At 50.7% G+C, this 24653-nt stretch overlaps 1 protein-coding gene across 17 annotated transcripts, besides 4 other annotated features; it reads left to right on the plus strand.

The window, feature by feature from the left end:
* Nucleotides 1-270: an enhancer, noted in NCBI's record as "active region_29612". NCBI's record gives its function as "activates an Ori minimal core promoter by ATAC-STARR-seq in GM12878 lymphoblastoid cells {active_cell/tissue: GM12878}" and the evidence as "EXISTENCE:reporter gene assay evidence [ECO:0000049][PMID:35858748]".
* Nucleotides 1-630: a biological region, named in NCBI's record as "H3K27ac hESC enhancer GRCh37_chrX:48659902-48660415".
* On the plus strand, nucleotides 20-23604 carry HDAC6 (histone deacetylase 6). 17 transcript variants are annotated; one of them, XM_047441704.1, is made up of 30 exons: nucleotides 20-373; nucleotides 496-566; nucleotides 1285-1407; nucleotides 1493-1621; nucleotides 1750-1838; nucleotides 4060-4144; nucleotides 4253-4293; nucleotides 4990-5086; nucleotides 5231-5328; nucleotides 6655-6759; nucleotides 6880-6948; nucleotides 13062-13188; nucleotides 13297-13362; nucleotides 13456-13515; nucleotides 13584-13673; nucleotides 14006-14112; nucleotides 14197-14264; nucleotides 14506-14674; nucleotides 14763-14891; nucleotides 15087-15255; nucleotides 15948-16081; nucleotides 16663-16731; nucleotides 16842-17034; nucleotides 18728-18877; nucleotides 21242-21416; nucleotides 21534-22210; nucleotides 22294-22407; nucleotides 22544-22690; nucleotides 22788-22916; nucleotides 23166-23604. In XM_047441704.1, exons 2-30 carry the CDS (start codon nucleotides 555-557, stop codon nucleotides 23232-23234), a joined length of 3690 nt encoding a protein of 1229 aa, XP_047297660.1. In that variant the 5' UTR covers nucleotides 20-373; nucleotides 496-554; the 3' UTR covers nucleotides 23235-23604. The 17 variants fall into 17 exon arrangements, 13 of the variants coding, with proteins under 13 accessions (XP_047297660.1, NP_001308154.1, XP_047297659.1 ...); NM_001321225.2 differs by having other exon boundaries at nucleotides 20-53; nucleotides 23166-23598; XM_047441703.1 differs by having other exon boundaries at nucleotides 20-566.
* Nucleotides 117-630: an enhancer, noted in NCBI's record as "H3K27ac hESC enhancer chrX:48659902-48660415 (GRCh37/hg19 assembly coordinates)". NCBI's record gives its function as "activates a minimal SCP1, AML or CMV promoter by ChIP-STARR-seq in primed H9 embryonic stem cells {active_cell/tissue: H9 hESC(primed)}" and the evidence as "EXISTENCE:reporter gene assay evidence [ECO:0000049][PMID:30033119]".
* Nucleotides 1261-1340: an enhancer, noted in NCBI's record as "active region_29613". NCBI's record gives its function as "activates an Ori minimal core promoter by ATAC-STARR-seq in GM12878 lymphoblastoid cells {active_cell/tissue: GM12878}" and the evidence as "EXISTENCE:reporter gene assay evidence [ECO:0000049][PMID:35858748]".

Genomic DNA, 24653 nt, shown 5'->3' on the forward strand with positions numbered 1-24653 from the left:
CCCGCCCGCGCTACGTCATCACGGCGCGTCGCGCGGGAAGTCGCGGGGAAAAGGTAAGATGCCCCTTCCTAATTCCCTCGCTTCCTTGCTTGCTCTCCAGACACCGCCGACCCGAAGGGCTCCTAAGTGACTGGACAGGGACGGAGGGGCGGCGGCTATGGCATCCGGGACGACAGCGACGATAGCCGAGGCAAGAAAAAGCTTGCACCGCAGCCCTGTCGGGAACCGCCGGCGCCTGCCTTTTACGTAGGCGCAGCACAGCTGGCGTAGCACGCCGACGCACCGCCCCGTCGCCTGTGAGCTCGCGGTGTGGCTCAGCCCAGCTGGCGTAGCACGCCGACGCACCGCCCCGCCGCTTGTGAGCTCGCGAGAGGTGTGGCTCGCGCGAGGGGCGCGGCCTTGAGGCACGGTCCCCTCTGGAGGCGGGATCTGGGCGGGCAGTCGAGAGACGAGGCCCAATGGAAAAGAAAAGCCTGAGCGCTCGCGTCCCCACAGGTCGCCAGAAACTTGGTGGAGCGAGCCAAGGGCGGAGTTTGAGAAAGGGGCTGCGTCCAATGAGTGGAGCGGTGAGTACAGCGCGTCGACGGCGGAGGCGGGAAGGGGGCGGAGGCCGACCGAAGGCGGCTAGGGACTGGCTGAAGAGGGTTAGCGAAACGTTAGCGGTCGGGTCTGGGCAGGGGGTGGAGCTGGTTGAAGGAACGGGGCAGTCCCCTGAGGAGCGGGGCTGGTTGAAACGCTAGGGGCGGGATCTGGCGGAGTGGAAGGTACCGGTCCGGCCCGATAAGGGGTGGAGTTAAGTGAATCGTTAAGGGTGGAGTCGAAACCGGGGTCGGGGCCGGGGCCGGCTGAGTGAAAGGGTGGGTGATTATCCCGGGAGATAGGCCGAAAGGGCAGGTTCGTGAAGGAATGGGGTCTGGGCTGGGCTTAGAGGGTCTGGGAATGGGGCTTAGGAGAGTAGAAGGGGCGGTGATTGGTTGGAAAGGGCAGGCCCTAAGACGGACTGTGTGAGCCCGGGGGCTCATTGCTCCGTGAAAGGGCAAGACCAGGGAAAGAGAATCGTGTAAAAGGGGTGGAGTCTAGCGGGCCGGGCGGGGCCGGGTAGAATGGCCACCTGAGTGGAGGGAGAAGGCCTGAGAGAGGCGGAGTTTGGAAGGCTGTGGAGAATCAGATCGCGTAAGGAATGGAATCTAATAGAGGGGGCGGAGCCTGGAAAAGGGCAGAGAGGTGGGGTCCTCAGGGCACACTAGCCCCCTCACATACCCACGCTCCTCCCCCCACCCCCAGAACCGCGGCAGGGGCCAAGCCTCCTCAACTATGACCTCAACCGGCCAGGATTCCACCACAACCAGGCAGCGAAGAAGTAGGCAGAACCCCCAGTCGCCCCCTCAGGACTCCAGTGTCACTTCGGTGAGGCCCTAGACCCGCCCTGATGAGGGGGAGAGGGAGCAAGTTGGTCATGCCCTGGACTCTGACCCTTCTCTCTGATTCACAGAAGCGAAATATTAAAAAGGGAGCCGTTCCCCGCTCTATCCCCAATCTAGCGGAGGTAAAGAAGAAAGGCAAAATGAAGAAGCTCGGCCAAGCAATGGAAGAAGACCTAATCGTGGGACTGCAAGGGATGGTGAGCAGGGCCTGGCTGCAGTTTAGCCTCGTATGACAATCAAAACCCAAAGGTTCCCCACCCTGGACAGTTCCCTCTGACTCAGGGCCTAAAATGGATCTGTGTCTCCTTTTTTTTTTCCTCTGCAGGATCTGAACCTTGAGGCTGAAGCACTGGCTGGCACTGGCTTGGTGTTGGATGAGCAGTTAAATGAATTCCATTGCCTCTGGGATGACAGGTGAGGCTGGGTCCTCCAGGCTGTCTCCAAACCACAAAAATACACACACTTAGAGCCCATTAGCAAGAATAAATCTTTTCTTACCCCAGCCTGGATACTGGAAGCAGATGATTTGGGGAGGTAGGGCTCACACTTGAAAGGGTTCTTTTATGTAGCTAACAAACATTTATTGAGTGCCTATTGTGTGCCAAGAGTTGGTGATACAAATGTACCAAACAACAGACAGGGGTCCTTCTCTAGGAGCGGATTGATGAGTAGGAGGGCAGATCATTAAACAGCCAACAGCAGTATGAGGTGTTTAATGAAGACAGACTTAAGACCAGGGGATTCAAGGGTGTATAATAGAGGATCCTAAACTAGTATCCGGGCTTCCCAGAAGCCTTTATAGAGGAAGAGACGTTTGTACTGAAACAGAAGGATGAAACCTCCCGTTTGCTTTACTTTTCAAAAAGAATCAGCAAATCCTTTTGGCTATATGTTCAAAATATATTCACCATCTGACCTCTCCTCACCACCTCCACTGCCACCATCATCATCACTCACCTAGACTTGCAGAGGCCTCCTCCCTGGTCCCCTACTTCCAACCTCACCTCTATTATCTGTTCATGCAGCAACCTAAAAAAATATGTATGAGTTGATGTCTTTGTTAAAATACTTTAAGGAGGCCAGGCATGGTGGCTCACGCCTATAATCCCAGCACTTTGGGGGGGCCAAGGCAGGTGGATCACTTGAGGTCAGGAGTTCGAGACCGGTCTGACCAACGCGATGAAACACTGTCTCTACTAAAAATACAAAAATTAGTTGGGCGTGGTGGCACACACCTGTAATCCTAGCTACTTGGGAGGCTGAGGCAGGAGAATCGCTTGATCTGGGAGGCGGAGGTTGCAGTGAGCCGAGATTGTGCCATTGCACCCCAGCCTGGGCAACAAGAGCAAAACTCTGTCTCAAAAAGTAAAAATAAAAAAAAAAAAAGTACTTTAAGGGCAAACTGTTGCCCTCAAGGTAAAGTCCAAATTTTTCATCCTGGCCTCAAAGGTTCCACATGATCTGGCTCCACATCACTTTGTGACCTCATCAGCCAATCCTTCTCGCCCACACTACTCCCCTTGTTCTTCCAACATGCCAGGCACCCTCTTGCCTCTGGTCTGTACCCTGACCAACCCCTTTCCCAGAGATTCTTTTCGGTCTTCTACTCTTCCAGCTGCCTTTCACATCCCAATGAGACTTTCTCAGAGAAGGTTTTGCCTGGCCAAACCCTACCCCAATACCTGATCTTATTTTCCTAGCCCATGACATTGTTTGCTAATTATCATACTTGTGTGTTTACCAATTAATATCTATATCCCTTATCCCAACCTAAGACTAACTTACTATGGGAAAAAGACTTCTTTTATGGAATACCTATTTACCATCTATTGAGGAGCTAGGGATACAGCAGTAAACAAAACAAACAAAAGCCTGTGTCTTCAGGGTAAAGGGGGAAGACAGACAATAAATAAACAAAAAGTAAATGATGCACTGTGGTAGAAAGAGCAGTGTTATGAAGAAGCAGTAAAGGGAGGATAGTAGGAGAAAGTACAGTGGAGGAGACTTCAATTTTAAATAGGCTGGTCAGGGAAGGCCTCACTATTTGAGCAGGGATCTGAAGAGGTGAAGGAGTAAGTCATGGAGACAGTTGGAGGAAGAGTATTCTAGGCGGGGGTGGGGGGGCCAGCTAGAGTAAAGTTCTAGGGCTGGCTGAAGAGTATTTGGTTCAACTGAGAACCAGGGAAGAGACCAGTGTAGGTGAAGCGAAGCAAAGGAAAGAGGGAGGGGTAGGAGATGGGGTCAGAGAGGTGATGGAGGACAGATTGTTTAGGGCCTTCTGGGCATGGGTAATACTTTGGCTTTTACTCAGAATGGGATGGGAGCCTCGAAGGGACATGAACTGATTAGGGTTTTAACCAGTGTCTAGCTGCTATGCACAGAAAGGACCGTTGAGGTGGCGAGGGTCGAAGCAGGGAGGCCGAGGAGATGCCGCCACAGCCCAGGCGGGAGGGTATGGTAATAGCAGTGGCAGTGGTGAGGAGAGGGTCACACACCAGAGCTGATGGGAGGCAGGACTGACACCACAGTTTTGGGGTAAGCAGCTGTGGAAGGGTGGATGGGGAGATGTGGAGAGAACAGATGTGGAGCTCCCCAGTGTCCTCATGCATCTGTGACTGTGACTCCATCTCCCCAGCTTCCCGGAAGGCCCTGAGCGGCTCCATGCCATCAAGGAGCAACTGATCCAGGAGGGCCTCCTAGATCGCTGCGTGTCCTTTCAGGTAAGGCCCCCAAGCCAACACTCTGGGTGAAGGGCAGGGAGCTGACCTGACCTGGGTGCAGCCCATGCCTTAACCCTTTACCCCACTTTATTCCTCATCTCTCCCCAGGCCCGGTTTGCTGAAAAGGAAGAGCTGATGTTGGTTCACAGGTGAAGGCTTGGGAGCCTTGTAGGGATGGGGAGGAGCCTGCCCTGGACAAACCAGGGCAAGCTAAACGCTTTGGGAAGCAATGTCATGGTCTCTGCAGCCAGCCTTGGGCAAGTCGCTGAGCCTTTCTGAATCTGTGTCATCGCCTGTAACAAGGGGACCAGTAAACATAAGTTCCTCAGGAGAGTTTGATGTGTGTCAGGTGCTTAGAACAGGGCCTGATATATAATCAGCCCATGATGAGCTATTACTGTTATCATGATCTGATTGTGTGAATAGATGGTGGATGTGTGGACAGAGTGATCGGGGTTCCCCCAGGGGCTTCCAGATTTAGAGGCCTAGTGCTATGTGGCTTGAGGAAAGCTAGCTTCCAGAGCAGGTATCTGAGCTGAACTTTAAGAGGAGAAAAAGAGTGAGTCAGATGAAGAGGGTGACTGAGGGAAGGGAAGAACAGACAGCTGAACCAGTGTGGCCAAAGGCCTGAAAGTAGGATTTGGTGTGGCTACTGCAGGGGAGCAGAGAACATTACCTGAACTGAGGCGGGCTAGGGAAGAAACAGAATGTGTCTTATATCCTGGCTATTCCTTCAGGTTGACAGTTGGGGGAGCCAAGCCCTAATTTGACCAGGGGGTTGGTGTATGGACAGCTCAGTTGGGGAAGAGACAGGGCCCTGAATCTCATCTCCCATCTGTGTCTAGCCTAGAATATATTGATCTGATGGAAACAACCCAGTACATGAATGAGGGAGAACTCCGTGTCCTAGCAGACACCTACGACTCAGTTTATCTGCATCCGGTATGGATGAGAACTCTGCGGGCAGGGAATGGTGGCAATCTTGGGGTCCCCATCCCTATGCCCACCCCACCCTGGGGGAAGCAGCTGAGTGGATAGGGCTGTTCTCTCCCTTACTCCCTTTCTGGCTCCCCACTGTCTCTCCAGAACTCATACTCCTGTGCCTGCCTGGCCTCAGGCTCTGTCCTCAGGCTGGTGGATGCGGTCCTGGGGGCTGAGATCCGGAATGGCATGGCCATCATTAGGTAGGACTCTACAGCATTTGACTTTTTACATTGTTTTAAAGTCCTTCCTTCAAGTGTAAAATGTATTGATATGGGTAATATATTCATGTGATTCAAGAATCCAAAGGTAAAAAAGAGAATATAATTAAAAATCTGTCTCCCATCCTTGTCACCCAGACACCTGCCTCCTCTCATGGGAGGTAGTCATTGGAACCACTGACTCATGTGTCCTCCCACAAAGTCTTATTCAAGAAATAAATACCATATTTCATTGATTCTAAGGTGTACATTTTTTCATATTTGTAACATCTTGAAATCCAGATGCATCTTACAAACAGTGACATCTCAGAATTCCATTGGCAGTATTTTCTGCTTCGTTTTTGGCATGTAAAATCATGGTACATCTTATCATCATTGGCATCCCAGAACTGATGAAATGCAAAAGCTTTCTCCTCCCTCCCCTGTTTTTAACCACAAATGGTAGTAACATGACATACTCCCTTCGTACCATCTTTTCACTTACACATCTTGGAAACCTTTCTCTAACAGTATGTATCTTGGAGCCCGGTAGAACACCATTGTGTAAATGCACTCTATGTTAATCAGTCCCCGACTAATGGGCATTTTGGTTCTCCCCAGTCATTTGCTGTTTTAAAAAAATGCTACAGCAAATATGCTAGTACCTTTATAAAAATAAAATTTTATTTTACACTAACATAAAATAAAAATGTTACTTCACCCTTTTTAAAACACAGGTTGTGGGCTAAGTTCCTGCAGCAGAATGACTGGGTATGAGAATGAATGCGTTGATCATTTTATTTTTATTTTTATTTATTTATTTATTTTGAGACGGAGTCTCGCTCTGTCACCAGGCTGGAGTGCAGTGATGCAATCTTGGCTCACTGCAACCTCTGCCTCCCAGGTTCAAGTGATTCTCCTGCCTCAGCCTCCCAAGTAGCTGGGACTACAGTCGCCCGCCACCACACCCAGCTAATTTTTTGTATTTTTAGTAGAGACGGGGTTTCACCGTGTTGGCCAGGATGGTCTTGATCTCTTGACCTCGTGGTCCACCCACCTCGGCCTCCCAAAGTGCTGGGATTACAGGCCTGAGCCACCGCACCCGGCCTTTATCATTTTAGTGAACATTTTCAAATCTCCTTTGGAGACAGAGGGGTAGATTGGCAGGGGGTGAGAGTTTGAGGGCCTCCATTACTCAGTTCCCGGCAGATTTTTAGGCATCAGCATTAAAGGAATTGGTGGTCCAGGATTAGAGAGCAGGGGACAGTCTGTCTCTGCAGAGGAGGACCCCTCACATACTCCAAGCTGTTATTTCCTTGTCTTGCCCAGGCCTCCTGGACATCACGCCCAGCACAGTCTTATGGATGGCTATTGCATGTTCAACCACGTGGCTGTGGCAGCCCGCTATGCTCAACAGAAACACCGCATCCGGAGGTCAGCAACAGAGGGCAGATGTGATGGGGGTGGCATGGGGTGGGGTGTCCTGGTCTGGGCTCTTCCCCCAGATTCACCTTGATCTCCTTGCACAGAGTCCCCTCTCTCTGCTGCTCCTAGGGTCCTTATCGTAGATTGGGATGTGCACCACGGTCAAGGAACACAGTTCACCTTCGACCAGGACCCCAGGTATACCCCGACTCCCACCTAGGTGCTAGACTCCCAGCCACCTCCCACCCTTACAGGCCCAGCCAGAAGGGGTCCAGAAGGAGGAAAAGGCATTCACATTCATGGGGCCTATCCTGGGATCAGGATCTGTGCTACTTTTGTGTGTCTGCCATCTCTCCTAATTTCACTCTGAGGCAGGGACTGTTGGGTTCCCTATTTTACAGATAGGGGGACTGAGGCTTATACGTTAAGAGGTCACACAGAGAAGAACTGGGAGAGACGGGATTTGACCCACAAATATTTGAAGATCTTATTCACTGATTAACCGTTGGGTTAGAGTGAACCTCAAATTACTGCTTTATTTTTTCTGATTAGGATAATGCTTCAAAGTGTTTGTTTATCCTTTCAGTAGATAGTAAAAAACAAATATAAATAAATAAATAACAAACTATTTGTTTAAAGAAATTAAATAATACAGAAGTGTCTGAAGCAGTGAGTCTCCTCTAATTTCCATTACCTCAAAAATAAGTGTTGACAGTTTAGGTTATATCCTTACAGATTTTCTCTATAGATGTCTGAATTTTTATTATTATTGTTATAATTATTAATAACACACTGCCTAATGGAATAATTCTCCACATGTTCTTCGACAACTTGCTTTATTCATTTAACAGCATATCTGGGACATTTCTCCATGTTAGTACCTCTTAAAGTATCTCGTTCTTTGTAGTATTCAATTTTATGACTGTACCTCTGGTTATTTAACCCCAGGACTTTTAAGATGCCTGCCAGTTTTTGCTATTACAGGCACTTCTACTGTGAATAGTCTAGTAAATATGTAATTCTGCACTTCTCTGAGTCTATCTGTAGGATGAATTTCTAACAGTGGGTTGCTTGGGCCAGAGAGTCAGCATACTTTAAAGTCTGGTATACACTGCCAGACTTCCCTCCAGGAGGGGACCAGCTTACCCTTCCTGCAGAAAGTGATTGAGCAAGTCCTTGTCAGTAGGAGACATTACTAAGTACATGTCGAGTATCCCTTATATGAAGTGCTTGGAACCAGAAGTATTTCACATTTCAGATTTTTTCAGATTTTGAAATATTTATATTATACTTAGTGGTTGAGCATCCTTAATCTGAAAACCCAAAATCCGAAATACCCCAATGAGCATTTCCTTTGAGCATCATGTTGGCCTTCAAAAAGTTTAGGATTTTAGGGCCGGGTGAAGTAGCTCACTCCTGTAATCCCAGTACTTTGGGAGGCCGAGGCGGATCACCTGAGGTCAGGAGTTCAAGATCAGCTTGGCCAACATGGTGAAACCCCGTCTCTACAAAAATACAGAAAAATTAGCCAGGCGTGGTGGCACACACCTGTATTTCCAGCTACTCAGGAGGCTGAGGCAGGAGAATCACTTGAACCCAGGAGGCAGAGGTTGCAGTGAGCTGAGATCGCACCACTGCACTCCAGCCTGGGTGATAGACTGAGACCCCATCTAAAAAAAAAAAAAAAGTTTAGGATTTTACAGCATTTCAGATTTCAGATTTCTAGATTAGGGATGCTCAACCTGTAGTAGTTTTATCTAGCCTTCTTCCTAGCTGACTACAGAGAATCCACTTATCCAAGATCTGAAGAATCCAATTTAGGTTGGTTGTTCTCTAGACATTGCTTTATTATTTTGCAGCATTCAGTGTTCCTGACAGGTGTCTGCTTTTCATTCCTTTCCAAGTAATCTACTTTCCTCTCTGCAAGGTTATCTTGGTGTTCTTTTTTTTTTTTTTTTAAATTATTAGACAGGGTATCACTCTGTCACCCAGGCTGGAGTATAGTAGCATGATCATAGCCCACTGTAACCTCAAACTCCTGGGCTCAAGCAATCCTCCTGCCTCAGCCTCCCAAGTAGCTAGGACTGCAGGCATGTGCCACCACACCCAGCTAATTTTTTAAATTATTTGTAGAGACAGGGTCTCACTATATTGCCCAGACTGGTCTCGAACTCCTGACCTCAAGTGTCCTCCCACTGCAGCCTCTCAAAGCACTGAGATTACAGGCATGAGCCACTGTACCTAGCCTTGATGTTCTAAACTTTTACCCTGGCCTTTTCACTCTGTTTAATAGTAGGTAGACATTTTACATCTGAAGATTCATGCTTTTCTTAAACTCTTGGAAATTATTTTCTATTAGATCTTTGATAATTTCTTCTTTGTTTTCTCTGTTCTCTTTCTAGGACTTCTGTTAGTCAGATGTTAGACTTCCTGGGTTGATCCTCTATGTCTCTCTCTTTTTTATTATTTATTTATTTATTTATTTATTTATTTTTTTTGAGACAAGGTCTTGCTCTGTTGCCCAGACTGGAGTACAGTGGCACAAATACGACTCACTGCAGCCTCGACCTCCCGGGCTCAAGCAATCCTCATGCCTCAGCCTCCTGAGTAGCTGGGACCACAGGTGCACACCAGCATACCCAGCTAATTTTTTAATCTTTTGTAGAGATGGGGTCTCACCATGTTGCCCAGGCTTCTTATTTTTTATCTTATGTTTTCTGTCTCTTTTTTCTTTTGCTGTGACCTGGGAGATTTTGTCAACTTTATCTTCAAGCCCTTCTGTTGAATTATGTATTTAGATATCCTGTTAAACTCCAAAAGCTCTTTCTTCCTCTCTGTTTCTATGTCCTCTCATACCTGATCTTGTTTTTATAGAGTATGGATTAGAAGTGCCGGCTGGGTGCGGTGGCTCATGCCTGTAATCCCAGCACTTTGGGAGGCCGAGGTGAGTGGATCACTTGAGGCCAGGAGTTCGAGACCAGTCTGGCCAACATGGTGAAACCCCATCTCTACTAAAAATACAAAAATTACCCAGACGTGATGGTGCGCACCTGTAATCCCAGCTACTCAGGAGGCTGAGGCAGGAGAATCGCTTGAACCCAGGAGGCGGAGGTTGCAGTGAGACAAGATCATGCCACTGCACTCCAGCCTGGGCGATAGAGGGAGACCCTGTCTCAAAAAAGGAAGTGCCTTAAGTTTCTTCTGTTGTCTGAGTTATGTCTCTTTATTCTGAGGCTGGTTGAATTATTTTTTTCTTGGTCCTTCTCTTTTATGCTGATGGTTTTCCTCAAATGTCTAGCAATCCTTATTTGGCTATTTATACCCAAGAATGAAGGCCCATTGTAGGGGGCTGTCAGAGGACTACTCTGCTGCAGTGTTTGTAGGTCTGTTTTCCTGAAAGGCATTTCCCCAGAATGGGGACAGGGAATGTCCACTGACAGGTTGCAACTTTAGCGAGTGTGGGCAAGGACCCGGGCATTAGATGGGATCCTGCCAGATGTCAGAACAAAGGAGGCCTCTTCTTTGGGGTAACATCTCTTTTTTCCCTCAGCCTTTCCAAAGTGTATCTGTTGTACTTATCTTTTCCAGTGTAGCTTTGGGCTTTGTTGGTCATCTCTACTGTTTTATTATGGTGGGTTTTTAATACTTCATTAATTTTTCTGGTTTTATCTTTATTAATGTTTTCCTCCGACGTTCTTTATTTTGTTCATTTCTGGCTTCTGGAATTTAATGCTTCAACATTTATCAACTCATTGGCCGATCTCATTTCATCTATACCTGTACCCACTGCCCTCTTCCTGTTTTCCTTCAAAGCTAATCCCAGATACCATATAATTTCTCCTGTAAATATTTCAGAATGCATCTCTAAAACATAAGTACACTTTTTTAGAAAAGCATTACCTTAGTATCAATACCTGAAAATTAACAATAATTATTTTTTTAATCTGCCAAGGGTCTGTCATTCAAAGAATTCTTTAATATCATTAATCATTCTTTTTGTTTGAATAAATGCATAGGAGGCTATAGCTGTGTGTTCTTTCATGGGTACACTATTGATTACACACACAGATGTGAAACACTGTGAATATATTCAGTGCATTCTTCCTTATTAACAAACGTGTGTAAACAAACAAACAAAAAGAACATGTCCATGCCCTTGGATCTCCCAGCTCCCCATCTCTCAGTCTCTGAACTCCAGCAGCAGGGAGACAAACTGGATAATCCTTAAAATACTGTTGTGAAGACAAGGAAAGCAGATGATCTAAAACTAAGTAGTTAAAAGAAACAAGTAACTTTGTTGTATTGGTGATTCAGTGAGTTGGCTCTTCAGAAGGGATTTTGTGTGCATTGACCTGGATCTGTACTGGATTTCTCCAGAAAGGAAACTTCAGCTTATCTTGGGTGCCCCCTTATCCTGCTCAGCATGAGACAGAGCACCCTGGGGCCCCTGGAATCTCAAAGTCTACTTTCTAGAAATTCATTGAAGTCTCTTATTCTCTGACATCCTTTCCACTCTCTCTTTCTGGGTTGCTGTTTGTTTACAATTTCTTTACTGTATTTTGAATGGGGTAGTAGGAGGTTGAGGAAGTAAACCTGTGCTATCAATCCACCATTTAACTTGAAGGTGGTTGAACTTATTTTGAATTTCCCTTCTGTTTTCTTTTTAAACTTAGCTTGAGTGCTAGTTCTGCTGTTTATTGACTTTGATGGCTCTCTTTTAGAGTCAGCTTTCTTCAGATCTTTTCTTTCTTCCTGTCTTCCCCAATGATATTTTTTTCTTTTCCTTTCTTTTTTTTTGAGACAGAGTCATGCTCTGTCGCCCAGGCTGGAGTGCAGTGGCCCGATCTCGGCTCACTGCAACCTCCGCCTCCTGGGTTCAAGCAATTCTCCTACCTCCACCTCCCAAGTAGCTAGGATTACAGGCACGCGCCACCACGCCCAGCAAATTTTTTGTATTTTTAGTAGAGACAGGGTTTCGCCATGTTGGCCATGCTGGTCTCGAACTTCTGGCCTCTAGTGATCCGCCCACCTTGGCCTCCCAAAGTGCTGGGATTACAGGTGTGAACCACTGCGCCCAGCCCTCTGGTGATAATTTTTATGTCCTACTGTGTTTCTCTTCCTCTAATGATTAACTTACTAAAAGTTTAGAACCAAGATTTATCTATCAATGTCAAAAATAAAACAATCATCCTCCACCTACTCAACACCAGAGCTTTTGCTTGTTTTTATTCCCCAATTCCAAGCTCTTTTCCCTCAATTTTAAGAATCTTTCTATATCACTTGCATTAAATTTCACAACTACATTATCAACCCATTAAAATGTGACTCTTAAGTTTGTCTAGATTCAATGCATACCACTATTTCTTGCATTTCCCTAAAAAAGCTGCCTTAGATCCTCTCTGGAACAAAGCAGGGGGTAAATGACCAGATAGAAGGATGGATGGATGATAGATTATTCATTTTGCTTTCCCCAGTCAGAATTAAGCCCTCCCATGGCCCCTTGCTGGGCTTTCTGTCAAAACACGTGCATCGCATCTTTTCAGTATCTGTTTTGCGTGTCGGTCATACTCACCCCTCTGAGTGCTCATTCTCTCGCCTATAAAATAGAAGAAGTAGTAGAGGTGGCCTGTAAGGCATTGGGGAGGAGGAACTGCCCTTTCACTGGCCTCATGACAGCCCCAGCCAGCACCCCCGCTCTAGTTCCACCCACAGAAGCAAGTCTCACCCCTACCCCCCAGGTCTCTCCACTTCCTGCTAGAGAATCACCCAGCTCCCCAGCCTGGCTTGAGGCTCTTTTCAGCCTTAGCTGGCTCCCCGCAGCTAAGAGCCCCATGCTCCATTTGGGCCTCCAGTGTCACAGGGTTTGACCTGCTGTTACTACTACCTTTGTCATAGGGGCAGGTAGTGGGCGGACATGATCTAGAGTACCCCACAGAGTCAGGAGCCCCCATGATCTGAGATAGACCCTAGAGCTGAGCCTGAAATTGGGTGGGCACTGAGGGGGCAGCGATGTTTGCTGAGGGAGAGGTTCTGGTGAGAGACTAAATGAATGAGCGAGTGAGGTAATGGATAAATAAAGATAAGAATGAAAAAATGGTAAGATGATTAAATTGGTGACTGAATGTAAGGGTAAATTAATGGAAGAATGGATTCATGGATTAAATAATTAATGGGGAAATTAATGAATGAGAGAATGAACGAGTGGTTGAATGGGGAAATGAGTGGTAGAGGAAACTGGCAACTGTTGGGTTGGGGGTGTCTATGGGGATTGACTTCTCCAACTCTCTTACCTCTTTTTCTTCTGCCCCCAGTGTCCTCTATTTCTCCATCCACCGCTACGAGCAGGGTAGGTTCTGGCCCCACCTGAAGGCCTCTAACTGGTCCACCACAGGTTTCGGCCAAGGCCAAGGATATACCATCAATGTGCCTTGGAACCAGGTCAGCATCTACCCACCTCTGCCCCCAAAGTGAGGCCCAGCCCCGCCCTTCTGTCAGCGGCTCGGGACAGGTGGCTGAACATCCCCCATCACACTCCTGTGTCTGCAGGTGGGGATGCGGGATGCTGACTACATTGCTGCTTTCCTGCACGTCCTGCTGCCAGTCGCCCTCGAGGTCCTGGGGATCTGGGGTGTGTTGGGAGGAGGAGTGGCCTTGAAGGTTAGGCTGTGAGGGTAGGTAGCCTCATGGAGTCTGTTCCCCCTTCAGTTCCAGCCTCAGCTGGTCCTGGTGGCTGCTGGATTTGATGCCCTGCAAGGGGACCCCAAGGTAAGGCAGGCTCCCTGGGGCGGCAGGTGGGTTGCATGGAGCCAGGCTGACCCTCCATGTCCCCCCAGGGTGAGATGGCCGCCACTCCGGCAGGGTTCGCCCAGCTAACCCACCTGCTCATGGGTCTGGCAGGAGGCAAGCTGATCCTGTCTCTGGAGGTGAGTGACTCACCTTCGTCCCTCAGCCTGTGGATCCTGGAGGGCTTAAGAACGAAGCTTTCAAGTCCAACAGGAGTTCCTGGCCCAGGAATTCACTTACTAGCTGGACAACCTTGCATAAGTCACTTCACTTCTTTGTGCCTCCGCTTTCCTTCTATAAAACGAGCATAATGTAATCACCTCATATCATTGTCCAGTGAATTCAGTGAGGCACCCTTCTAAGTTCCTTGTTGCTTGACATGTGGTATGCACTCTCTTATTATCATCATTATTATTATTCCCTGGTCATGTCTGGTCCTTTCCTGATCCCCCTTCACAACTCCTTGCCCCAGGGTGGCTACAACCTCCGCGCCCTGGCTGAAGGCGTCAGTGCTTCGCTCCACACCCTTCTGGGAGACCCTTGCCCCATGCTGGAGTCACCTGGTGCCCCCTGCCGGAGGTGAGCCCCGGTGGAGGAGGGGAAAGCGGGAGCCTCACTGCCCGCCCACATTCCTTGACATCATATTTTCTCCCTGCCCTGCAGTGCCCAGGCTTCAGTTTCCTGTGCTCTGGAAGCCCTTGAGCCCTTCTGGGAGGTTCTTGTGAGATCAAGTAGGAAGTGGGGTGTGGGCCTGGTGTGGGGTGGACGTGGGATGAGCCCTGGGGGAGACTGTCTTCAGACTTCCTCTGACTTTACTGGGCTGCCTTGGTGGGAGAGGGTCAGGCCCTCTCTCTCTCCCTGGGCCCTGGTTTCAGGCCTCCCACCCCTTTTTCTGTTTGGGTCACCTGAGTTCCAGAGTATGACGGGGATTCAGATTGAGAGGGTAGGACAAACGTGGCCTCCCCCTTTTAGCTGAGACCGTGGAGAGGGACAACATGGAGGAGGACAATGTAGAGGAGAGCGAGGAGGAAGGACCCTGGGAGCCCCCTGTGCTCCCAATCCTGACATGGCCAGTGCTACAGTCTCGCACAGGGCTGGTCTATGACCAAAATATGATGAATCACTGCAACTTGTGGGACAGGTAGGCATTTGGAGGGCTGGATGAGTAGGTGTTGGGGGTCCCTCCCCCTCAGGCACTAAGCCTCTACCTCTCGTTTCCCCACTGCTAGCCACCACCCTGAGGTACCCCAGCGCATCTTGCGGATCATGTGCCGTCTGGAGGAGCTGGGCCTTGCCGGGCGCTGCCTCACCCTGACACCGCGCCCTGCCACAGAGGCTGAGCTGCTCACCTGTCACAGGTCAGACCCCGGTGCCTGGGGTGGGTGGATTCCCAGGACTGTGGATGAGGTCTCAGGGGCTGGAACTTGGGTTTCCCCTCCTGGGGAGCTGCTGCAGGACTTGAGAGGGGCTGAAGTCCCTGTCTTAGGGGTGGGGACCAGGGAGGGGACAGACCCTCCTCACTGTCCTGCGGGTGCTCCTCTCTGTGCTTCCAGTGCTGAGTACGTGGGTCATCTCCGGGCCACAGAGAAAATGAAAACCCGGGAGCTGCACCGTGAGAGTTCCAACTTTGACTCCATCTATATCTGCCCCAGTACCTTCGCCTGTGCACAGCTTGCCACTGGCGCTGCCTGCCGCCTGGTGGAGGCTGTGCTCTCAGGAGAGGTGTGTCCTCTGTGGGCTGGGGAGAGGAGGACCTGGGGGGAATGGAAAAAGAGAGCCATCTGCTGTTTCTGGAGGCTCTGAGAGAGTCAAGCAGGGCCTGAGGAAAGGGGCCATGGGGAGGGGCACGGGAGGGGGTGGGCCTAGAGGCTGGGGGAATAATGGAAGGAACTGGAGAAAGGGAAGGGTGGCCAAGTGCAGTGGCTCACGTCTGTAATCCTAGCGCTTTGAGAAGCTGAGGTGAGCTCAGGAGGTCAAGGCTGCAGTAAGCCATGATTGCACCACTGCACTCTAGCCTGGGCAACAGAGTGAGACCCTGTGTCAAAAAAAAAAAAAGGTCCGGGCGTGATGGCTCACACCTGTAATCCCAGCACTTTGGGAGGCCGAGGTGGGCAGATCACGAGGTCAGGAGATCGAGACCATCCTGGATAACATGGTGAAACCCCGTCTCTACTAAGAAACATACAAAAAATTAGCCGGGCGTGGCAGCAAGCGCCTGTAGTCCTAGCTACTCAGGAGGCTGAGGCAGGAGAATGGCGGGAACCTGGCAGGCGGCGCTTGCAGTGAGCCGAGATGGCGCCACTGCATTCCAGCCTGGGCGACAGAGCGAGACTCCGTCTCAAAAAAAAAAAAAAAAAAGGAAGAAAGGAAGGTGAGGGCAGGCTGTCCGATCTTAGCACCCTGCTGCTTCCCAGGTTCTGAATGGTGCTGCTGTGGTGCGTCCCCCAGGACACCACGCAGAGCAGGATGCAGCTTGCGGTTTTTGCTTTTTCAACTCTGTGGCTGTGGCTGCTCGCCATGCCCAGACTATCAGTGGGCATGCCCTACGGTAAGGACTCCCTGGGGACCCCCCAAATCCTGATCCTTGTGGGGACCTGGATGCTCCCCCCAGCCCATTGTTTACTCATGCCCCATGGTCCAGCTCCCAGGACTTCCTTCCCCAGAAAGAAGTAAGGGTGCAGTCCTTACCCAGAGAAGGACCGAGGATGGAGCCTCTCAGTGCTTATTTAGATAGGACCCCCAGATCATGTTACCTGGGCACTTACAAAACAGGATCCAGGGTCCCACCCCAGCATTTCTGGCCTATAGCAGCTGCCTCGACAGAACCCAGGTCTAGGCTCCTGATGCATACTCCAGAAGACCCACGAACCAGCCCCCAGCATTAGCTGCCCAAGGCCCAGGGTCCAGTTCCCTAGCAATGACCCAGAAGAGCCCAGGGCCCAGCCCCGAGCACTTGCTCAGGCCTACCGGGCAGCCCTTGGGAACCAGGATCAGACTTTTCTCCTTAACTGATAGGACCCAGGGTCCTGCCACTCAGCACTAAATGCCCCTGCAGACCCCAGGGGTCTAGCCCAGCCCTCTTCCAGGGCGTGAGTATCGTCGGTTACTGAGGTGCTGTCTCCTCCCCAGGATCCTGATTGTGGATTGGGATGTCCACCACGGTAATGGAACTCAGCACATGTTTGAGGATGACCCCAGGTAAGGGCTGCAGTCAGGGGCCGCAGTGTGATCAGGGAGGCGGGTGAGCACCTCAGGGGTACTGGAGCCCCTAACCAGCCATGGTCCGCTTCCCACCCCCTCCCTGGCAGTGTGCTATATGTGTCCCTGCACCGCTATGATCATGGCACCTTCTTCCCCATGGGGGATGAGGGTGCCAGCAGCCAGATCGGCCGGGCTGCGGGCACAGGCTTCACCGTCAACGTGGCATGGAACGGGCCCCGCATGGGTGATGCTGACTACCTAGCTGCCTGGCATCGCCTGGTGCTTCCCATTGCCTACGAGGTACAGCTCAGGATAGATCGCAGGACGTATGTGACACGCCTGTGCAGGTGGCAGCCTGGACCTGCCTCCTTGGCATGTGTGTGTGTGACTACCATGTGGCTGATGATATGAGACAGCGCATGGGTGTTTAATGAGGCTACCAGGGCAGTTGGTGGCTGTGATCACCTTGTGTATTTGTGCACAGATGGCTGTACATGACTGCCTTCTCTGTGTGACACTGTGTGAGTGACTGTCTTGGCTGTGTGTGTGAGGGCCTTCTGACTATGCACCAATGGCCCGTGTCCTGGCTGGATCTGTGTTGTATGTGCGTGCCATCACAAGTGCTTGAGTATGTGCGTGTGCGACTCTGTGCAGGCAGGTATTTCTCACCTTTTCTCTGTGTGATGGGTGTGATACTGTATGTCACTAAATGCAACCATCTCTGTGACAGCCTGTGTGGGACCTTCTGGATGTGGAAGGCTGTGTGTGACAGCAGTCACTGTCTGGCTGTCTGCCCTGGCTGTTTGTGTGTATGTCTCTGACTGGGAGGTAGCTGCCTTCCCTCTGTGTGAGCTAGGAGGCTGGTGGCTTGTGTATGGCTGACTCTGGGAGGGAGGGAAAGGGTGTGAGCACCGCTCTGTCACCCTGGGCGCCGGTGTGCATCTTTGGATCTGCATGTGCATCTGACTGTGCATGGGTAGCCAGGACAGCCTTCTGTGTGTGTACAACTGTATGTGCAAATAACCAGCTCTTGTGGACATACCAGAGTGCATGTCGCCATTGTGGCTGTGTGGTGATGGCATGTGTATGTGACTGTGCAGGATGGCTGTGGGTTATTGTCCTCTTTGAGAAACTGTGTGTGTGTACATGACTAGTGCAGATATATAGTACTGATCTATATGGTACTGTCTGTGTGGCAGTACGTGTGGCTCTGTGTGACCATCTTCTCTGTATGTGGTTCTTGCGTTGCCATCTTCTGTTTTGGAAGTGTGCAAGCACCTCTCTTTGGCACTATGTATATAAAACCCTGTATCTTGTGTATGTGTGTCCCACGTTTGACCCTGGGGTATGTGTGTGTGAGGACATGTCTCTGTCTCTCTGTTTTTCATGTCACTCTCTTGACGTGTCAGTCTGTCTCATGTCCCCATCTGTCCCTTTTTTTTTTTTTTTGAAATGGAGTCTTGCTCTGTCACCCAGGCTAGAGTGCAGTGGTGCAATCTCGGCTCACTGCCAGCTCCGCCTCCTGGGTTCATGCCATTCTCCTGCCTCAGCCTCCTGCGTAGCTGGGACTACAGGCTCCCGCCACCACGTCTGGCTAATTTTTTGTATTTTTAGTAGAGACAGGGTTTCACTGTGTTAGCCAGGATGGTCTCAATCTGACCTCATGATCTGCCCGCCTCGGCCTCCCAAAGTGCTGGGATTACAGGCCTGAGCCACCATGCCCGGCCCCCATCTGTCCCTTTCTGCCATCTCCATGTCTCTAAGTCTGCATCTATTTCTTCTACCTCTGAGTCTGTATTTCTTTTCTTCCCTTCTTCATTTTCAGTCTCTGCTTTTGTGTCTCCTAGTCTCCAGGTTCTGTGTCTCCATCTCTCTGACTTGCATCTCCATGTCTTCATTTGTCCTTTTCTCCATGTCTCTGGGTCGCCATCACTTACTGCCTACCAAAAGCCCCTACCCTCATGCTTATACATCTCTTCTCTCCCTGCCTCAGTTTAACCCAGAACTGGTGCTGGTCTCAGCTGGCTTTGATGCTGCACGGGGGGATCCGCTGGGGGGCTGCCAGGTGTCACCTGAGGGTTATGCCCACCTCACCCACCTGCTGATGGGCCTTGCCAGTGGCCGCATTATCCTTATCCTAGAGGTAACTTTCTCTTGGTCCCTCTTCCCACAGTGGGAGGGTAGTTTGGAAATGTTGGCACCATCACTCAGGACAGTTTCCTGAAATCTCCTTTGAGTGTCCCTGCCTGGGATTGTTGGCACATACTGGGTAGTAATAAGAATAACAGCAACATTAACAGCCTTAATTGAGTGCTCACTATGTGCAGAGCACTCTTCTGAGCACCTCATGTGTCTTATTCATTCAGTTACTTGGCAAAGCAGCCTTATGAGGTAGGGTAAGCTTACCTCATTTTCCTCTCTGAAGATCAGGGAAACTGAGGCACAAAGAGGTGTGATGACTAGCCTGAGATGGCACATTTACTGATGGCAGAACCAGGACTTGAACCCATGCAGCCTGGCTCCAGGGTTTGTGCTTTTTACTCTACCTGAACTGCCTCTAACAAGTTCCTGGGACAAAGGAAATTCACTGACCTTTGTAAATGACTCAGTATCCCCACGCCCTGTGCCTCAGTTTCCTCATCTTTATGAGGCAGGCTAATCATGGAGGAATGCCTGGCATATGGTAAATGCTGGATCTTTTGGATCTGGTTTTTTGTTGTTGTTGTTGTTGTTGTTGTTTGTGAGACAAGAGTCTCGCTCTGTCACCCAGGCTAGTCTGCAGTGGCATGATCTCAGCTCACTGCAGCCTCCACCTCCCGGCTTCAAGTGATCCTCCCACCTCAGCCTCCTGAGTCGCTGGGATTACAGGCACCCGCCACCACGCCCAGCTAATTTTTGTATTTTTAGTAGAGATGGGGTTTCACCATGTTGGTCAGGCTGGTCTTGAGCTCCTGGCCTCAAGAAATCCACCCACCTTAGCCTCCCAGAGTGCTGGAATTACAGGCATGAGCCACCGCACCTGGCCCCTGGTTACTGTTATGCGTTGTTCAGATATTAACCCACTCAGCAACCTTCTGTGCTCTTATTTTCTTTTTCTTTTTCTTTTTTTTTTTGAGACGTTGTCTTGCTCTGTCGCCCAGGCTAGAGTGCAGTGGTGCGATTGTGGCTCACTGGGTTCAAGCAGTTCTCTGCCTCAGCCTCCTGAGTAGCTAGGATTACAGGTGCCTGCCACCACACCCAGCTAATTTTTTTGTATTTTTAGTAGAGACGGGGTTTCACCATGTTGGCCAGGCTGGTGTTGAACTCCTGACCTCGTGATCCACCTGCCTCAGCCTCCCAAAGTGTTGGGATTACAGGCATGAGCTACCATACCTGCCTCTTTTTTTTTTTTTTTTTTTTTTTCCTTTTGAGACAGAGTCTCGCCGTGTCACCCAGGCTGGAGTGCAATGGCGCTATCTCGGCTCACTGCAGCCTCTATCTCCCAGGCTCGAGCAAGCAATTCTCATGCCTCAGCCTCCCGAGTAGCTGGGACTACAGGCGCATGCCACCACGCCTGGCTAATTTTTGTATTTTTAGTAGAGACGGGGGTTTCACCATGTTGGCCAGGCTGGCCTCAAACTCCTGACCTCAGGTAACCTTCCCGCCTCGGCCTCCCAAAGTGCTGGGATTATAGGGGTGAGCCACCGCGCCCAGCCTGTGCTGTTATTTTCACCACTTTACAGATGAGGAAAATAAGTCACTGAGAAATTAATTGGCTTGCAAAAAGTCGCACTTACTATGTGCCCAGTACTGCTTGTGACAGGACACGGTGGGAGTTAAGAACACAGATGACTCCATCAGAGAGCCCAAGTTCAAACCCCAGTGCTGCCTCTTCAGCTGTTATGACCTCGGACAAGTCATCTAACCACTCTGAGCCTCAGTTTCTTTATCTGTAAAAAGAATAGCAACTGGGATTCCTGTAGAGTGTAAAAAAAGTCAATACAGGAGTCCATGTGGAGAAAGAGTCCAGTTGTTCCTGTACTAGGTCAGGGCAGGGGCTTTTGTATGGGTTCACAGCAGTCGTCTTGTGCAGGTCAGGTCAGTGGTTACTGTATGATGTGAGGCCAGGGGTTCCTGGACAGTGTGAAGACGGATTTCTGTATGGCATGAAGGCAAGTTCCTGTATAGATTGAGCGCCTGTGGTTGTGAGGATTGAGTTAATATGCATGAAGTACTTAAAATCGGGTCTGGCACACAGCAAACAATAAATGTCAGCTGTTACTAATGCTTTTATCAGTATTGTTATCTTGCACTTTACATCACAATTTACTCCCCACAACAACCACCTTACACAGTGGGTGCTGCCTATCTTAAAGGTGTGGGTTCTGTTCACTTGTTCTCAGTACTCCCCCTCCCTCTCCAGACTTGCAGGGCTCAGTAGGGAGGATTGGGGAGGCAGGACATGTTGTCCTCCAAATTCCCCAATGAACCCCCACCATACCTTTCCCTCCCCTTTTCCTTAACAAAGGGTGGCTATAACCTGACATCCATCTCAGAGTCCATGGCTGCCTGCACTCGCTCCCTCCTTGGAGACCCACCACCCCTGCTGACCCTGCCACGGCCCCCACTATCAGGGGCCCTGGCCTCAATCACTGAGACCATCCAAGTCCATCGCAGATACTGGCGCAGCTTACGGGTCATGAGTGAGTGGATTTGGGGGTGATGGGGGGAACCCAGGGAAGGAGGGGGCTGAGGGGCAGAGATCAGAGGCAGGAAGGGTGACAGTACCCACACTCAAGGATCTCCCTCCCTGGTTCCAGAGGTAGAAGACAGAGAAGGACCCTCCAGTTCTAAGTTGGTCACCAAGAAGGCACCCCAACCAGCCAAACCTAGGTTAGCTGAGCGGATGACCACACGAGAAAAGAAGGTTCTGGAAGCAGGCATGGGGAAAGTCACCTCGGCATCATTTGGGGAAGAGTCCACTCCAGGCCAGACTAACTCAGAGACAGCTGTGGTGGCCCTCACTCAGGACCAGCCCTCAGAGGCAGCCACAGGGGGAGCCACTCTGGCCCAGACCATTTCTGAGGCAGCCATTGGGGGAGCCATGCTGGGCCAGACCACCTCAGAGGAGGCTGTCGGGGGAGCCACTCCGGACCAGACCACCTCAGAGGAGACTGTGGGAGGAGCCATTCTGGACCAGACCACCTCAGAGGATGCTGTTGGGGGAGCCACGCTGGGCCAGACTACCTCAGAGGAGGCTGTAGGAGGAGCTACACTGGCCCAGACCACCTCGGAGGCAGCCATGGAGGGAGCCACACTGGACCAGACTACGTCAGAGGAGGCTCCAGGGGGCACCGAGCTGATCCAAACTCCTCTAGCCTCGAGCACAGACCACCAGACCCCCCCAACCTCACCTGTGCAGGGAACTACACCCCAGATATCTCCCAGTACACTGATTGGGAGTCTCAGGACCTTGGAGCTAGGCAGCGAATCTCAGGTAAGGCTCACCACACCCAGGTAGGGGCAAGAAGGGGCAAGAATCGGGCTTCTCTGATACATCTCTTACTTCTGCGTGTCCAGGGGGCCTCAGAATCTCAGGCCCCAGGAGAGGAGAACCTACTAGGAGAGGCAGCTGGAGGTCAGGACATGGCTGATTCGATGCTGATGCAGGGATCTAGGGGCCTCACTGATCAGGTGAGCTCAGGGAGAGGCTGGGACTGTGGCTTCCTTCTCTTGCCAATTTGTGTCTCCAGGTAGGAGCATGTGATGAATAAACATATAATGGGGAGATGGGGTCTTCAGCTTACCTAGTTTCACCCACCCACTCCAGGCCATATTTTATGCTGTGACACCACTGCCCTGGTGTCCCCATTTGGTGGCAGTATGCCCCATACCTGCAGCAGGCCTAGACGTGACCCAACCTTGTGGGGACTGTGGAACAATCCAAGAGAATTGGGTGTGTCTCTCTTGCTATCAGGTATGGAGCAGAGGAAGGGGATGGGGCGGAGGTTGGCCCGGGAGCAAACTGCAGGGGGATGCTGACCCCCACCTGACACTCACACCCCCAACCTCAGGTCTACTGTGGTCGTTACATCAATGGCCACATGCTCCAACACCATGGAAATTCTGGACACCCGCTGGTCCTCAGCTACATCGACCTGTCAGCCTGGTGTTACTACTGTCAGGCCTATGTCCACCACCAGGTGGGCCCTGGGTAGACCCTTCGACACGTGCACACTCACCCCCCACACACACACCCCTTCTGTGATTGGGTAAAGGGAGACCACAGGCCCCTCTGCATGGCTGCCTCATGTGATTATTTTGCATGGGGCGGGGGCTGTGGGATAGTCCAGAAGACAGAGTGGTTGAGGGCTGGAGTGGGGGCAGCCCTGCAGCCGAGGTAGAGGGGTCCTCACTCTCTCTCACCTGCCCTATTCTTGCCTCCTCCTCAGGCTCTCCTAGATGTGAAGAACATCGCCCACCAGAACAAGTTTGGGGAGGATATGCCCCACCCACACTAAGCCCCAGAATACGGTCCCTCTTCACCTTCTGAGGCCCACGATAGACCAGCTGTAGCTCATTCCAGCCTGTACCTTGGATGAGGGGTAGCCTCCCACTGCATCCCATCCTGAATATCCTTTGCAACTCCCCAAGAGTGCTTATTTAAGTGTTAATACTTTTAAGAGAACTGCGACGATTAATTGTGGATCTCCCCCTGCCCATTGCCTGCTTGAGGGGCACCACTACTCCAGCCCAGAAGGAAAGGGGGGCAGCTCAGTGGCCCCAAGAGGGAGCTGATATCATGAGGATAACATTGGCGGGAGGGGAGTTAACTGGCAGGCATGGCAAGGTTGCATATGTAATAAAGTACAAGCTGTTAAAAAACCTGGAGAAAGCTTTTTGACTTTGAGCAGGTGGAGAACCCCACATCCCTGGCCAGCAGAGCCGATGAGTAATGAAGGAATGAGGGAGTGGGTCTCTGTCAGGTCAATCCCCTGCCCATCCATTGCCCCCAAAAAACTAACTGAAAATAGAGCAGCCATCTTGACTGGCTCCACGGGATATAAAATGGTAGAATCCATGAGAAAATGGGTGCTTGCCTTATAAATAGGAGCCTCACAGCCAGTCCCAGCCACACCCACACCCTAGGCTGAGAAGGCAAGAAAACTAGCAGGAAGTATCCTTACCAGGCCTGTTTCCCCACTGTCTCATTGGCCTGACTGGGGATGGTGGGAGGTCCAGGTTTAACTTGAATGTGGTGGTCATGGTAGCTTCTTGGCAGAAGGGGTGCCTGCCATTGACCACAGGTGGGAAATTGGAGGACAGTCTGAGAGCTGAATTTCTCCCACGTGGTGAGAATTGCTTTGGCAGCTCAAGGGAGTTGGATCTGAGGTTTCCAGGACTTTTCTTCATGGCCACCTTATGATCCCAAGCTGACCACCACAGCCTTACTGAGTCAAGAAGAGGAGGGATGGGGAAGGGCCGGGGCTGCCCCGTTCTTGTTTTGTTTTGTTTTTTGAGATGGAGTCTTGCTCTTGTCACCCAGGCTGGAGTGCAGTGGCACGATCTCGGCTCATTGCAGCCTCTGCCTCCCAGGTTCAAGTGATTCTCCTTCCTCAACCTCCTGAGTAGCTGGGATTACAGGTGCCTACCACCACACCTGGCTAATTTTTGTATTTTTAGTAGAGACGGGGTTTTGCCATATTGGGCAGGCTGGTCTCAAACTCCTGACCTGGTGATCCGCTGGCCTTGGTCTCCCAAAGTGCTGGGATTATGGGTGTGAGCCACCACTCCCGGGCCAGGGGCTGCCCTGTTTTAAGAGCCCTCTGGATGCCCCACCTCTGCTGCCCTCTCATTGATCAGGACTGTGCATGTGGTTGCCATAGCTGCAAGGGAGCCTGGGAAATGTGTAGTTTGACAGGCAGCCGCCTCCAATCAGG

The sequence above is a fragment of the Homo sapiens genome, chromosome X (assembly GCF_000001405.40).
Source record: "Homo sapiens chromosome X, GRCh38.p14 Primary Assembly".
Lineage (NCBI taxonomy): Eukaryota > Metazoa > Chordata > Mammalia > Primates > Hominidae > Homo > Homo sapiens.